This window comes from Homo sapiens, chromosome 5 (genome assembly GCF_000001405.40).
Source record: "Homo sapiens chromosome 5, GRCh38.p14 Primary Assembly".
Lineage (NCBI taxonomy): Eukaryota > Metazoa > Chordata > Mammalia > Primates > Hominidae > Homo > Homo sapiens.
This window is the reverse complement of record NC_000005.10, coordinates 31,775,670-31,792,402: the sequence shown is the minus strand read 5'-3', so window position 1 is coordinate 31,792,402 and position 16,733 is coordinate 31,775,670. Positions and strand designations below refer to the sequence as shown.

Sequence of the window (16,733 nt, the reverse complement as noted above, 5' to 3'; positions counted from 1 at the left end):
TCAAAGTGGCGAACTAACATACCCAAGGTCTCACAGTTCATAAGTAACAGAGCCAGAACTAGAACCCAGACCCATTGGACTTGGCCTTGCTCCTTGTACATCAGCCTGCTGCCTGCCTGCTTCTGATGACCTTGCCCCCCTGAACTATACCTGACTTAACCAGGCCAGCACCCAGCCTGGTGGTCCCTGCTCCTCAGCCACGGATGGGCCTCATATGATAAACATGTAGTTTGTGTCAGAAGCGTGTGGCTCTCTACCTGATATTCATTCTCTCTTCCTTTATTTTGTTGGGAGTGGCAATGAATTAAACTAAAATGCAGTCTCTCTTGCAGGTATGGATAGCTATACAACATAGTTCTGGCCAATGGGATGAAAGTGGAAATTGTTGGGTAGGGTTACACCAACATTCCTTTAGGGAAGAGCAGAAATTAGAGGAAAAATAAACCCCTGTGTCGTTAAGTCGCTGTTATGTGGATTTTTACCAGTCCAACCAATTATCTGAATTACACCCCAAACACAGAATTCAGTGCCTGGAAGTTGGGGGAACTGAAAGTAACAGAACCTATAATGTGGAATTGGATGAGCAGGAGGGGTCAGGAAGCAGACGTTAAGGACTTGAAAGTTGCGGACTGGAAAGTGTTGACCCTAGCTGTTCAATGTGAAGTATCTGGTCAAATTGCCTACTGCTGAATGTTGCAAAGTCATTTACATGTTGACTGAGGTTGTGGAGCTAGGAAAAATGGTAAGAAAAATTTAGAATATTGGTAGGTGCTTTTTCTTTTTTAACCTTTTTTTTTTTTTTTTTTTTTTTTGAGACGGAGTTTCTCTCTTGTTGCCCAGGCTGGAGTGCAATGGCACGATCTCGGCTCACCATAGCCTCCACCTCTTGGGTTCAAGCAATTCTCCTGCCTTAGCCTCCCAAGTAGCTGGGATTACAGGCATGCGCCACCACACTTGGCTAATTTTGTATTTTTAGTAGAGGCGGGGTTTCTCCATGTTGGTCAGGCTGGTCTCGAACTCCTGACCTCAGGTGATCTGCCCGCGTCGGCCTCCCAAAGTGCTGGGATTACAGGCGTGAGCCACTGCGCCTGGCCAATAGGTGCTTTTTCACTCTCAGCAAAGTCTACAGCTCCCCAACTCAGTAAGCAATCAGAGATAAAGAGAACTATCACTTTGCTTAGAAAGGCCCTCTTGACATTGAGTCTGCAATCTAAATTGCCTGGGAAGCCCACATTATGGACCCTTGCAGGGTTACAAAAATCAGCTTTATCAGAAGCAGATAAGTGGTGTCCTACTAGCCGGAGTTTGTAAGTCTGCTGGCAAAAATGTGATTACCCAGCAGAAACCACGGTTTCAACTGTTCTCAGCAGCATACATTAAGTAGCATACATTAAGTTAAAATTCAGGCTGGGCGCGGTGGCTCATGCCTGTAATCCCAGCACTTTGGGAGGCCGACGCGGGCGGATCACGAGGTCAGGAGATCAAGACCATCTTGGCTAACACGGTGAAATCCCGTCTCTACTAAAAATACAAAAAATTAGCTGGGTGCGGTGGTGGGTGCCTGTAATCCCAGCTATTCAGGAGGCTGAGGCAGGAGAATGGCATGAACCCAGGAGGCGGAGCTTGCAGTGAGCCGAGATCGTGCCACTGCAGTCCGGCCTGAGCGAAAGAGCGAGACTCTGTCTCAAAAAAAAAAAAAAAAAAAAAAAAATTAGAGAGATAGGTGCGGATTCTAAGTTAAAAAGTAAAGGATTCAAATCATAAGGAATTGACCAGAAACACACAGACTAGATACCTTAAAAAAAACTCCAGCCCTGGTCCACAACAGCCTGGGATGCTTAAATCTCTACAGCAACCTTGCAACTCTTCCTCTCCCTCTTTCTCACCTGCAACTGACACCAACAAGTAAGGCTTCAAAAAATGTTCAGCCCCCAGAAAAGGTGTCCTTCCTGTGCCCATCACAAAAGTGGCCATGGTGGACAGTGAATGAAGAATGACCTCCCGGGGCCAGGAGCGGTGGCTCACGCCTGTAATCCCAGCACTTTGGGAGGCCGAGGTGGGAGGATCACCTGAGGTCAAGAGACTGAGACAATCCTGGCCAACGTGGTGAAACCCTGTCTCTACTAAAAATACAAAAATTAGCTGGGCATGGTGGCGGGTGCCTGTAGTCCTAGCTACTCGGGAGGCTGAGGCAGGAGACTCAGGAGGTGGAGGTTGCAGTGAGCCGAGATTGCACCACTGCACTCCAGCCTGGTGACAGAGCGAGACTCCATCTCAAACAAACAAACAAACAAAAAAGACCTCCCAGTAAGAGGCAAGGGCCATGGAAGGCCATAAACAAGGAGTTCCTTCCACCAGAGCAAGGGGTGGCCAGAGTGAGGACCCTTGCTATTCTTGGCCAGAAGGATTTGGTCATAGCTATGGACAGTGACCACGATATTTTCCATCTCTTCTTTTATAAATGGAATTTTTTTTTGTTGTTTGGAGAAGGAGTTTCGCTCTTGTTGCCCACACTGGAATGCAGTGGTGCAATCTCAGCTCACTGCAACCTCCACCTTCCAGGTTCAAGTGATTTTCTTGCCTCAGCCTCCCAAGCAGCTGGGATTACAGGCGCCCGCCACCACACCCGGCTAGTTTTGTATTTTTAGTAGAGATGGGGTTTCACCACGTTGGCCAGGCTGGTCTCAAACTCCTGACTCGGATGCCTCGGCCTCCCAAAGTGCTGGCGTTATAGGCATGAGCCACCACGCCCAGCCCGGAAGTTTTTATTGTACTTATTTTATACCTTTTCCAGTATTGTATTTTGGGGGTACCAAAGATTGCTCACAAGGAGCCCTATCTAGCACTGATGGAGAAGACCACATAACACCCAGAAGTCTGGGGCTCTAGTCTGGAAATGCTACCTGGATGAGGCTTGGGTGCCACCTCCCTTGGCCTATGCCTTGAATGGAAAGAAGGGTATGTCTCAGTAACCAAAGAAGGGGACTGTGGCAGAGAATTCTAGTTCCCTACAGAGTATCCTGCTCGCTTTTTCCTTACTAACAGAAACCCACCTATGTTCGAGGAGCAAGTGCCCAGCCAAAAAGCCATTTCTTAATGCACCTTCAGAGAGGAGTGGACATAAGATACAGTCCTGGCTCATGAAGTTTTTGGGAGAGGCATCCAGGGAGGCTCCTTTCATATAGGGTCTCTTTTTCCTTTTTCTTGCTTAGAATGCATATGTGATGGCTGGAGCTTTAGCAACCATCTTGTGACCTTGAGCAGCTATACCAGCCCCAGACATCCTACCTCCAGACTTCTTATTACATGAGAGAAAAACAGGCACCTATCTTGTCTAAGCCCTGTTAATTAGATATTCTGTTATAGCTGAATAAAATCCTTAGTGAATATATTGCTTTCATTCACTTTTCACCCTCAGATTCAAGGCCCTGAACATAATCCTGAGTCCTTCAACTTCAGTCCTGCTACTTTTCCAGTTAGCAGTTATTACTGAGTTCCTGCCTCGATTTGAGGGTTGCCAAAAAATACAGAGCATGTGTCTGCCCCTTAAAAAGGTGAAAGCACACATAAACTTAACCAGTGATACATTAGCATAGTTGTGCAGTCCCAGGTGTCTCACACAAACATACAACTGATTGAGAAACAGTGCAAATACAAACTACTGAGACTCCCTTAAGTCAGCTTAGGTTTTGGGAGAGCTAATTTTATTTTATTTATTTAATTTATTTATTTATTTTGAGACAGAGTCTCACTTTGTCACCCAGGCTGGAGTGCAGTGGCACGATCTCGGCTCACTGCACTCTCCGCCTCCCAGGTTCACGCCATTCTCCTGCCTCAGCTTCCCCGAGCAGCTGGGACTACAGGCGCCCGCCACCACACCCGGCTAATTTTTTGTATTTTTAGTAGAGACGGGGTTTCACCATGTTAGCCAGGATGGTCTCGATCTCCTGAACTCGTGATCCGCCCGCCTTGGCCTCCCAAAGTGCTGGGATTACAGGCGTGAGCCACTGTGCCCGGCCTTTTTTATTTTTGAGACGAAGTTTTACTCTTGTTGCCCAGGCTGGAGTACAATGGCACGATATCAGCTCACTGCAACCTCCACCTCCTGGGTTCAATCAATTCTCCTGCCTCAGCCTCCTGAGTAGCTGGGATTACAGGCACCCACTATCATGCCCAGCTAATTTTTGTATTTTTAGTAGAGAGAGGGTTTCACCATATTGGCCGGGCTGGTCTGGAACTCCTGACCTCAGGTGATCCACCCGCCTTGGCCTCCCAAAGTGCTGGGATTATAGGCATGAACCACGGCGCCCGGCCTGGGAGAGCTAATTTGTATCTGCCTACATGGCTGACTCTACACTAGATGAAGGGCTGTGCGTATGAGGCAGAGAATTTGATCTATCCTTTTATGCAACAAGGGTTGATTCTGCCAGGCACTGCGCTAGGCTAGAAAAGAAAAGATGAACAGCCTGTGGAGGCTGCGGTCCACTGGAGAAAGAGACCATAAAATAAACAGCAACAATAAAATGCGTAAAGACCCATGGAAGGTGCACTTGGGAGCATAGGATGGATTCTGAGAAGTGAGGCTTTCCAAGGTCAATGCTGAGGTTTTAGGGGATGAGAGAGGTGTTTCCATATATTAATAAATTATAGAAGGTAAGAACCTAGAAGGAACCTCAGGGATTACCTCCTCCAGCCTTCAATTTTATAGATGAGAGAAATGAACATCAAGGCAGGCCCAAGATCCTTCAATTTCTGGGTTTGATGACCTTTGAAGAATAGGAAAAAGAAAAAAAAAATGAATGAAATGGAAAAGGATAACCTGGCAGCTATTTTGAGACTCTATTACCTGAAGATATTATATGTCCTATGGACTATCTGTCCATATAAAAATGGGAATGAGTAGAAATTGCAGGTAGACTCATGAATATTGAAGGCCAAAAAACCCTAATGAATATTAGAAGTTATTTCTGTTCCCTACCTACTTCTAAAATATATTTGCTGTGGCTTCAACTGTGAGCTCTGCGGTTTAAGACTGTTTACTCAGGATGTCAGGATTTGGCCAGTTCTGGGTTAATAATATTTCTAGAGTTTAGATATCTCAATTCTAAAAGAGCATACTAATTGAGGAAAGAGGGCATTTACGAGGCAATGTGCATATTTGTACAATGGCAGTTCAATGCTTTGAAACAGTTGCTATCTACTGAATAGGTAATTGACTGAGAACAGTCAGGGCTTCTGTGTTAGCAGCAAGAGAGCCATGAGGTCACTGTGACTGCCCATTACCTTCTGATCATCCTGTCCATGTGGTATGGATCGGGCAGCCATGATACTACCAACCCACTCATTCACAACCCAGTAGATCACATCATCCACATATAGCATTATCACATATTCTTTAATTACACCAGAGTGATTTTTTTTAAAAACAGGATAGATATTTTACAAATCCTTTCATACCAAGTGTGCTGTTAGATGCTTCTGGTGTTTAGACTTTTGAGTACATAATCTATTTACTGTATTTAAATTCTTAGCATGTAACTACTCAGGATCTGACCTCATCATTAATTAACAATGATTCAAATATTTATAAGAGCCAGTAATACACTCTGCCACTAGCTAGCTGTACGGCCCCAGGCAAGTCATGTAAAATCTCTGAGCCTCAGTTTCCTTACCTGCCAAATGAGGTGGTTTTACTAAGTTTCTTTCCAGCTCTGGCATTCCCCCTACACCCCCCCAAATCTTGGAGCTAAGTTAGCGAGGCAGGGATGAAGTAGCTGGCCTCATTAGGAAGCATATACACAACCATGGAAGTTTTGAACTGCAGAGGAGATAGGCTAAATTGCTTTATCAGACTTTGAGTATCTGCCAAGACAAAGGAGGAGAGGAGCCCCAGGGGTGGTTTTATATTTATGTGCTTATAACCTTATCCCAGCTTTTCCAGAATACAAGAAGAAATATATCCTACTGAATAAAAGCTCTTTGGAACAGCAATAGAACCAAGGTTTCAAGAAGTGGGGAAGAACTTGCCTGGGGGGTGGGGTACAATAGGAAATCTGGGGTTTCCACTGAGGCCCCACAGCCTCTTGAATTTGGCAAGAGCCTAAACTGTGCGGAGACTGAGCTCCACCCTCTCCCTTCCCTGGACTGCTCGCCTGCTTGCTTGCAGGAGCTAGGGCTGGAGTGCCTGATGCAGAGAATGAATTCTCAGAGGAAACCAAAAGATCACGGAGCACAAAGGTTCAACCTTATGTCAACTGAGAAGCTCCCCCATTTCCCAGGCCTTGCTGTGGGAAAGGCCTCAGACAATGAGAAGGAAAGTCAAAGTCCATGGGAGTGAGAGGAACAAGAATCCTCAGCTGACCTCTTTCAGTCAGGAACTCAGAATTCAGAAGGAAAGATTTCGGAGGAGGTAGGCGAATATACTAACCCCGAGTCCCTCCATGACCCCTTTGCTACTCATGTGCCATCATGGCCCTTAATAGGGTGGGAGAGAAGTGATGTGGAGCGACTGTAAGAAGACGTGAGATAGCATAAATGGAGAGGAACTAGGACGAAAACCACCGAACCTTGGGGCGAGGTCTGGGGAAATGATGAGGTTGGATCCACCGTCACTCTAGATCCTGCTGTGGTAGGGGCATGTGCACAGTTAAAAGACAGGGCTGGGCAGGGTGCAGTAGCTCATGCCTGTAATCCTAGCACTTTGGGAGGCTGAGGCAGGAGGATCACTTGAGCCCAGGAATTCAAGAGCAGCCGGGGCAACATGGCGAGACCCTGTGTCTAGAAAAGATTGAAAAATTAGCTGGGTCTGGTGCTGCACACCTGTGGTTCCAGCTACCCGGGAGGCTGACATGGCAGGATCTCTTGAGCCCAGTAGTTTAAGGCTGCAGTGAGAGATATGCTCATACCACCGCACTCCAGCCTGGGTGACAGAGTGAGACCCTGTCTCAATATATTTATATATGTATGTATATATATATAATATATATGACATATATATGGGAAATATATATTTATATATATAAATATATAATATATATGACATATATATATGGGCTGGGAAAGGTCACTGCCAGGGAGGTGCCACAAGGTGACCCTGACCTTGGTGAACTTCCTACCATCCATGTCTTCAGGTTCTAAGGCTCGGAAACATGAATTCTGTCAGCACATTGCAAGGGCATCTATTTCTCATGTGTAAACATACAGTTACCAGCAAGAAAGCTCATTCATTCATTTTCAATTGGAAAGACAATTACTAAGTGGGCAGGATGTTTGCATCCACGTAATCAATGCATGCTTACCCTGAAGGCAGGATGCTGCAAAGGCAAACTTGGACTAAGGAGACCCAGGTGAGTACAGGAAGGGCTCTAGCTCAGGTAGCTTCAGGCACTCCCTCTCCCACACTGTAGTTGAGGCTTTGCAAAGGAAATTGTCTACTTAGCCAAGACTCCCCACTACTAGAAAACATTAGAAAAGTCATGACTACCTTTTTTTTTTTTGAGACGGCATCTCGCTGTGTCGCCCAAGCTGGAGTGCAGTGGTGCAATCTCGGCTCACTGCAACCTCCACCTCCCGGGTTCAAGCGATTCTTCTGCCTCAGCCTCCCGAGTAGCTGGGATTACAGGCATGTGCCACCACGCCTGGCTAATTTTTGTATTTTTAGTAGAGACAGGGTTTCACCATATTGGCCAGGCTGGTCTTGAACTCCTGACCTCGTGATCCACCTGCCTTGGTCTCCCAAAGTGCTGGGATTACAGGCGTGAGCCACCACGCCTAGCCTCAGGCATCACTAACTTCTTACTCTTAGAGTTTTTGTCCCTGTTTTGCACTGACCACCCCCCTTCTATTCATACCCACTTTCTCCAAAGTGCACATTATGACATCAATAAGTAATGATTTCTGATCTCTGAATTACAAGCACAATCCGATTTCAGTCCATCCTCCACAAGATCACTGTGATTTGATGTTTGTTTTCTACGTGCATTCAAGGACAATGTCTTACCTTGGAAACTTGGAGACTGGCTATCCAACCCTGTATGTTGTATTTACTAGTTTAATTCTCAAAATAAAAACTTGACTTCCTTATGTCTAAGTTCGGGGCTGCGAAGAAGGGACCTCACTATTGCCCCAGGTCCCGAGGACACCTCTGGATTTAGTGTAACTACAGGAGCTAGCAAAGTGGCCATGTGGGGCACTCACAGGCAGTTTTGATGCGCTCAGAATGGTGTCTGTGAATGCCTGCAGGAGGTGAGGACGGGAGGGACAGAACTAAAGTCACAAGCAAAGCCGGGATTTCATGTTCTTTTTTCCACTCTTGACCTGGAGCCCTACCGAGGAGCCTTATGCTCTGAATTTCCAGACAGCTCCTGCATTTCCCAGAGCCCTGAGGCCCTGTGGCAGCGTCCCAGTGCCACAGATGAGGGAACAGATTGAGAGGGGACCGGAGACTCAGTGACAGTCAGAGCACTATGTGTCCATGACGTCACTCGGCAAAAACTCCCTGCAGATTGGAAGGCAGGTTCTCATCCATTAAGCAAAGCCTTTCTCCAGGAAATTGGAAGCGGGAAAAAAATAAAACTTCTTTGTATTAGAGACAACATAGGCACAAGGGCACATCTCCACAGGGGAAATGTAGACGGTTGGGTACATTTAGGACAGGAGTCTAATGTTTCCATTGCTGAGGCCTCAGAGGGAGGTGCTATAGGAAATAGACACTCTCAGGCACGCTGCCGATCTGGGGAATTACCAAGATTAGCAAAATGGCCATTACCTGCCACCCACCAGGTTCCACTGAAGCATTTCCAACATACTTTAAGCACCCTGGTTGGACGACTCCAAGTTCAGTATCAATCTCTTTGTGATGCTGAGCACGCAGACTGTGCCAAGTGAGACACTAAAGAAACTATGTGAAAATAACCGAAGACTTGTTCTCAACTTGAAATCTCAAGTCTTCTCGCCTGAGGAGGTGATTAAAAACTTGGCCTCCTTCCCCGATGCGGATGCTCTAGCCCCCTGCCTGGCAAGCTCAGGTGCTCTCCTGCCCAGTCCTGTCCTCATCCTTCCCTCCCGTGTTCTCCAAGGCTCTCTCCATGACACCTTCCACCCAAGTCCTTTCCCACGAGTCTTAAGACCAGAAAAAAAAATGGAAAGAAAGACGCGTGCATGCTTCTGGTGTTCCCAAGTTCCACAAGATAAACACTGGTTAAGCCAGTGAGGAATGACTCCTCAGGCAGAAATCATTCATTCATCCAGCAAATATTTATTGAGTGCAATAAATCAAGTTTAAACCAACTTTATCTAAAATAAAGTTTAAACCAACTTCATCTAAAATAAAGTTTAAACCAACTTTAAATAAAAGTCCTCACCTTTGGGAACTTAAAATTTAAAGTGGTGGCCAGGCACGGTGGCTCACGCCTGTAATCCCAGCACTTTGTGGGGCTGAGGCAGGCTGATCACTTGAGATCAGGAGTTCAAAAGCAGCCTGGCCAACATGGTGAAACCCCGTCTCTACTAAAAATACAAAAATTACCCGGGTGTGGTGGCGGGCACCTGTAATCACAGCTACTCGGGAGGCTGAGGCAGGAGAGTTGCTTGAACCTGGGAGGCAGAGATTGTGGTAAGCCGAGATCGTGCCACTTCACTCCAGCCTGGGTGATAGCGCAACACTCTTTCTCAAAAAAAAAAAAAAAAAAAAAAAATCTAAAGTGGTCTTTCCAAGCCAGCCTGAACCCCAGAATCATCTGGGCTTCTTAAAGATACGCTAGATCCAGATCCAATCCTTAGAGATTCTGATTCCCAAGACCTGGGGGTGGTGGTAGCGAGCAGATACCTGTACTTGTAATGAGTGTTTTGGGTAACTGGTATAACATGGTCCTGGAAACTATTGATCAATTAGAACAAGAGGTGCCAACTCCTGCATGACTGAGACTGGGACCACAGGAAGAAGGTTAATTTTAACATCCTAATGTCTCCGGAGACTCCTCATTTCCCACCCATGTAGGGTTGTAAGATTCAGCAAATAAGAATGTATAGCTCCCAGTTAAAAATGAATTTCTGAAAACAAGAAATAATGTTTTAATATAAGTATGCTCCAAATATTGTAGTATATCTTAATGTAGGTATGTCCCATGTAATAGTTGGGACATATTTATACTAAAATATTATTCATTGTTTATCTGAAATTCAAATTAAACTGTCTGGTATTTTATATGGCAACCCTACTCTACCCCACCCCAAAATGAAGCTCTCAGAGTCTGTGACCTGCATGTCTGTCTGCCTTTGTGACATATGGAATCCCAGCCGGCACCCCTACCCTGCCTCAACAGGCCTTTCACTTCTTCCTGAATGCAGATAGCACCCATGGGCCACGGCCACCCACACTGTGCCGGCATAGAGTGAATGAGTCAGACCTGGGATCACAGCTCATCACCTGACTTGGAGGAACTTCTCTTCCTGGCCCCCCTGTTATCTCAGGCTCTGGTCTCATATGCCCAAATCTGCTCCTCACAGCCCAGCTGCCTTCCCTAAATGCCTCTATTCGCCCAAACCCTGTAAATAGTAGTCCCCTCTGGCCAACTGACCTCCTGAAATAGGCACTGACAAAATGAGACGTCTGTCTCACATTATACAACTGTGTTATAAGGATGAAAGAAGATCAGGAACAGAAAGAAAAGGTCAGAAATAGAAAAATGTTTGAAGTAATTACAAGAAGTAATCCACCAGTGATTTTCAAATCATGATCCTAGGACTACGTACAGCATTTAAACACAGCTGCTCTGATTCTATTAGTTTCATTTGCTTATGCTTCTGGGTAAGACTTTATTTGAATGAATTTAAGCAGCTAACACATTGAAGTATAGAGTTGGCGACCACTTCTAAGAGATGCTCACAATGGCCTATGGAGAACACTGTGCACTGTATACCCACCACTTCCTCCCTTTTTACCCCCTAACAGAAGCCTGGGTTTTTGTTTGTTGTTGTTGTTGCTTTTTTGAGATGGAGTCTGGCTCTGTCGCCCAGGCTGGAGTGCAGTGGCACAATCTCAGCTCACTGCAACCTCCAACTCCTGGGTTCAAGCGATTCTCCTGCCTCAGCCTCATGAGTAGCTGGGATTACAGACGTGCACCACCACACCCAGCTAATTTTTGTATTTTTAGTAGAGACAGGGTTTTACCACGTTGGCCAGGCTGGCCTTGAACTCCTGACCTCAAGTGATCTGCCCACTTCAGTCTCCCAAAGTGCTGGGATTACAGGTGTGAGCCACTGGGCTCAGCCTGAATCCCAGTTTTTGTGTAAGGATTCAACCATCCTCCTCCACCCATCAGGGGCCTCAGCTTTAAAGAAGGGCCTAACTGATCGGTGGTGTAAGTGACATCCTCCCCTTGCAGCAGGGTTTCAGGAATGAGCAGGTGACCCAACACTGGGAAATGAGACATGAGGTGACGCCTTCTAGAATCTTCTGGAGAATGTTGCCTTGCTCCTAAGACAAAGTGCTGAGATGTGATAGTCTCTCTTCTTCCTCTGGATGTTATCAGCTCTCAGTGACACGCCTGGAACTGCTGCTGCTACCCTGCTCCAGCCTAAATGAAGCTTAATCCTGGGGATCACAGAGTGAGAGGGAAAATGAGATTGGGACCCTGAGGACACCGCGGAACCACTGAATATCCTTCCTGCTGAAGCCGGTTTGGGGTGGGTTTTTGTAACCAGCCTCTTGAAAACATCCTGTTATATGTGTGCTTCTGTGCTTGGAGCTGTATATTAAAAGGAAATGTCTAAGACAGACATGCAAATTTAAACTTCTGAGATTCGCAGCAATAAAAGTGGATCTACCTGTCTTTATTTCTATCCCAGAGGGCAGAAATGTGCTCATCATTATTTCTCTATAGACACTGGCTTTCGCTTTTCTTTGACTTCGAATAAAAATGCTCTACTTTAATGTTCGTTGATGAAATATCAAAAATAAACTTACTCCTCCTTCTGGCAAAACCTCCATATTTAAACATTCTCAGAACCACAAGAAAAAGCACAAGGTGTTTGAACTGCCTTGTGAACTTAACTTTGGAACACAAGCAAAGGCAGAGGCTGAAGCCCCCCCGGCATCCTTAAGGCGCAGAATCCCACAGCCCATGGATAGATTCCTGTGCCGACTCCACCCCCCACCCCACTCTCACGTGCTTGACTTTTCCTGCCGCCTTCCCCTCCAGTGACTATTGAGCTCGTCCCCAGGCTCCAAGGGTAGAACTCCCACTCTGCAAACTTTCTACCAATGCTGCTTCTCCCATTTCATGCAGTTCCATAAACCCATTAAGTCAACTCTTCAGAAGAGGGCTGGAGGCTTGACTCTGGACTATTGACTCTGGAAAAGTGAGCTTGCTTCTCAGGGCTTCTAAGGGGTACAGTAAAGCCACCAGAAACTGGCGACGTCTTCAATCCTCTAGCGAAGACACAACTAAAGCAGTGAATGGCTCCAGTTCAGGAGTGCTTATTCCAGCACAGCAAGACAGAAACACAGCCAAAGTGGGCAAGAAAATACAATACAGATTAATCATGGACACTAATAAAAACGAACACGTGAAGCTGCCAAGGAGATGAGAACAGGCATACCAAACTGAGGCCAATTCATTCCCTAAATATTTACTGAGTGCCCACTACCCCGTGCCAGGCATTACCACAAATTGCTAAAAATACAAACTGAACAGGTTCTGTTTTTGGCTTCAAGAGATTCCCAATTTTTGGCCGGGCGCGGTGGCTCACACCTGCAATCCCAGCACTTTGGGAGGCCGAGGCAGGCGGATCACGAGGTCAGGAGATCGAGACCATCCTGGCTAACATGGTGAAACCCCGTCTCTACTAAAAATACAAAAAGTTAGCCGGGCGTGGTGGCGGGCGCCTGTAGTCCCAGCTACTCGGGAGGCTGAGGCAGGAGAATGGCGTGATCCGGGAGGTGGAGCTTGCAGGGAGCCGAGATTGCGCCACTGCACTCCAGCCTGGGCGACCAGCAAGACTCCATCTCAAAAAAAAAAAAAAAAAAAAGAGATTCACAATTTTCCTAGGGACAGCTACATAAATAACGTTAAAGGATGGCAGAATTCACTAGGTGGAATTGGGGGTGATAGAAGTCATTTACACAAGCCCAGTCCTGTGGAATCCTGAAGGTAAACATGCAGGTGGTATGTTGATGCAACAGGCAAGGAGGGCTGGTGTGGAGGGTGTGCGCAGTGCAGGGTGTGTGCAGTGGTGGGGCTGGGAGTTAGTGTACAGGTGTAGTTTGGGGCAGAGTGCACATGGAGTTTGACTTCTGTCACATAGGTAATGGGTTTTGGTTATTGGTGGTTTAATTTTTTTTAAGCAAGAGAGAGATATAACCAGATTTGTGGTTTCATTTTAGAAAAGTATATGAGAAAATGTTTGCCATAATATGTGAGGAGAAAGTAGGTTACAAAGTAGTTTTGTTTTCATTTTTAAAAATGAAATTGATATGCAAAGTCTTTGAAGGATATTCACTAAAATGACGGTTTTCATCTCAGGAAAGGAGATCTATGAGTGGTTTTTCACCTTTAAATATCTAGATCTTCTAAATGCTTGTGAACATTTATTACTTTACTGATTTAAAAACACCATGTGGCTGGGTGCGGTGGCTCACACCTGTAATCCCAGTGTGTCCGGAATTGGTGGGTTCTTGGTCTCACTGACTTCAACAATGAAGCCGCGGACCCTCCCGGTGAGTGTTAAAGTTCCTAAAGACGGTATGTCCGGAATTTGTTCCTTCTGACGTTCGGACGTGTTCGGAGTTTCTTCCTGCTGGTGGGTTCATGGTCTCGCTGGCTTCAGGAGTGAAGCTGCAGACCTTCATGGTGAGTGTTACAGCTCTTAAGGCGGCACATCTGGAGTTGTTCGTTCCTCCCGTCCAGAGTTGTTCATTCCTCCCAGTGGGTTCCTGGTCTCGCTGGCCTCAGGAGTGAAGCTGCAGACCTTCGCGGTGAGTGTTACAGCTCATAAAGGCAGTGCAGACCCAAAGAGTGAGCAGCAGCAAGATTTATTACAAAGAGCGAAAGAACAAAGCTTCCACAGTGTGGAAGGGGACCCGAGCCTCTTGCCACTGCTGGCTGGGACAACCTGCTTTTATTCCCTTACCTGGCCCCACCCACATCCTGCTGAATGGTCCATTTTACAGAGAGCTGATTGGTCCGTTTTGACAGGGTGCTCACTGGTGTGTTTACAATCCCTGAGCTAGACACAGAGTGCTGATTGGTGTATTTACAATCCTCCAGCTAGACGTAAAAGTTCCCCAAGTCCCCACTAGATTAGCTAGACACAGAGCACTGATTGGTGCATTTACAAACCTTTAGCTAGACACAGAATGCTGATTGGTGCGTTTACAATCCCCGAGCTAGACACAGAGTGCTCACTGGTACATTTATAATCCTACAGCTAGACATAAAAGTTCTCCAAGTCCCCACCAGATTAGCTAGACACAGAGCACTGATTGGTGTGTTTATAAACCTTTAGCTAGACACAGAGTGTTGATTGGTGAATTTACAATCCTTTAGCTAGACATAAAAGTTCTCCAAGTCCCCACCAGATTAGCTAGATACAGAGTGCTGATTGGTGCATCCACCAACCCCAAGCTAGACACAGAGTGTTGATTGGTGCATTTACAATCCTTTAGCTAGACATAAAAGTTCTCCAAGTCCCCACCAGATTAGCTAGATACAGAGTGCCGATTGGTGCATCCACAAACCCTGAGCTAGACACAGAGTGCTGATTGGTGCATATACAATCCTCTGGCTAGGCATAAAAGTTCTCCAAGTCCCCACCTGACTCAGGAGCCCAGCTGGCTTCATCTAGTGGATCCCGCGTGGGGGCCATAAGGGCAGAGCTGCCCGCCAGTCCCATGCCACGCACCTGCACCCCTCAGCCCTTGGATGGTCGATGGGCCCAGGCGCCACGGAGCAGGGGGCGGCGCCCGTCGGGGAGGCTCCGGACACGTGGGAGCCCACGGGGTGGGGTGGGGCGAGGGGAGGGGGGCTCAGGCATGGCGGGCTGCAGGTTCGGAGCCCTGCACCGCAGGGAGGCGGCTGAGGCCTGGCGAGAATTCAAGCACAGTGCGGGCGGGCCAGCAGTGCTGGGGGACCTGGCGCCCCCTCTGCAGCTGCTGGCCTGGGTGCTAAGCCCCTCACTGCCCGGGGCCAGTGGCACCTGCCAGCCACTCCGAGTGCGGGCCTGCCGAGCCCGTGCCCACCCGGAACTCACGCTGCCCCGCGAGCGCCAGTGCACAGCCCCGGTTCCTGGCCGCACCTCTCCCTCCACACCTCCCAGCAAGCAGAGGGAGCCGGCTCCAGGCTCGGCCAGCCCAGAGAGGGGCTCCCACAGTGCAGCGGTGGGCTGAAGGGCTCCTCAAGTGTGGCCAGAGCGAACGCCTGAGGCCGAGGAGGTGCTGAGAGTGAGTGAGGGCCGCCAGCACGTTGTCACCCCTCACTAGCATTTTGGGAGGCCAAGGCAGGCAGATCACCTGAGACCAGGGATTCAAGACCAGCCTGGCCAACATGGTGAAACCCTGTCTCTACCAAGAATACAAAAAAAAAATTAACCAAGCAGGGTAGGGTGGCGTGCATCTGCAGTCCCAGCTACTCGGGAAGCTGAGGCAGGAGAATAGCTTGAACCTAGGAGGTGGAGGTTACAGTGAGCCAAGACTGCACTACTGCACTCCAGCCTGGGCGACAGAGCAAGACTCCGTCTCAAAATAAATAAATAAATAAATAAATAAATAAATAAATAAAATAAAAAATAAGGCCAGGCGTGGTGGTTCATGCCTGTAATCTCAGCACTTTGGGAGGATGAAGCAGGCAGATCACGAGGTCAGGAGTTCGAGACCAGCCTGGCCAACATAAGTAACCTGTCTCTACTAAAAATGAATAAATAAATAAATAAATAAATAAATAAATAAATAAATAAAATAAAAACACAATGTATGGGGAGTAGGGTAGGGACCCGAAAGGATGTCTGTGCACTGAGTGAGACCACAGGGCAGGGAGGCAGTTGGAGGACTGTTCCTCATAGCTCAGATGGGATCCAGTGACTGCCTGGATAGGGGAGTGGCAATGGGATGGTGGGGGAAGGGGCTGGCATCTTGGACAATTTCAGAGGCACAGTTAACTGGTCTTGGTGACCACTTGGAATGAGGTTAGTGGGGAAGGGGATAGAGAAGAGGAGGAGTCCAAGATGACCTAGGGAACGGCAGAGACCTAGGGGCTCCGCCAGTGAAGGCCCCTTATTCACACAGGCCTTGTCCTTTGCCTCTTACACTCCAGGAATCTGAGCTTGGCACTCTTGTCAGGACTCCAAACCAGACTTCTTGCCTTTCTGTTCCATTGGCTAGCTTCAGACCTAGTGGGAATGGCCAAGGCTTTCCTTCTTACTGTGACAGTGGACTGCCCCTCCCCCATGTCCACCTAACGCATGCTGGCCACACTCATGAAGCCTTAGTCAAAAACTCCCCATCTAAATCCACAGGGCCCGGGAGAGCCAGGTTTGTTACCGGAAGCTCACAAAGCTCAGCCTCTTTTAAAGCAATTAAAAGCCCAGTGTGGGAGACCTTTGGCACCAAGTTTTTCCACCTACTAGGCTCTCAGCACAGATCTAACAGTCCACCAGCGTTGGAAGGCCAACACGTTACCCTGGAGCCAAGTGGGAGATGACTACACACACACACACACACACACACACACACACACACA

At 47.4% G+C, this 16,733-nt stretch overlaps 1 protein-coding gene across 6 annotated transcripts in view, besides 1 other annotated feature; it reads right to left on the bottom strand.

Annotated features, from left to right (window-relative positions):
• The window catches only part of PDZD2 (PDZ domain containing 2), a 471,802-nt gene that overhangs the window by 318,530 nt on the left and 136,539 nt on the right, over window positions 1-16,733 (bottom strand). For 3 of the 6 annotated variants that reach the window (XM_011513992.3, XM_011513994.3, XM_011513996.3), the window contains exon 2: window positions 4,685-4,766. The exons of the other annotated variants lie outside the window; for them this stretch is intronic. The gene's annotated coding sequence lies outside the window, so the exon portion shown is untranslated. The remainder of the gene's footprint in view (window positions 1-4,684; window positions 4,767-16,733) is intronic. 6 annotated transcript variants of the gene reach the window in all.
• Window positions 11,999-12,278: a silencer, noted in NCBI's record as "fragment chr5:31780232-31780511 (GRCh37/hg19 assembly coordinates)". NCBI's record gives its function as "represses an EF-1alpha promoter that drives an FKBP-Casp9 reporter gene in an ReSE screen in HepG2 liver carcinoma cells {active_cell/tissue: HepG2}" and the evidence as "EXISTENCE:reporter gene assay evidence [ECO:0000049][PMID:32094911]".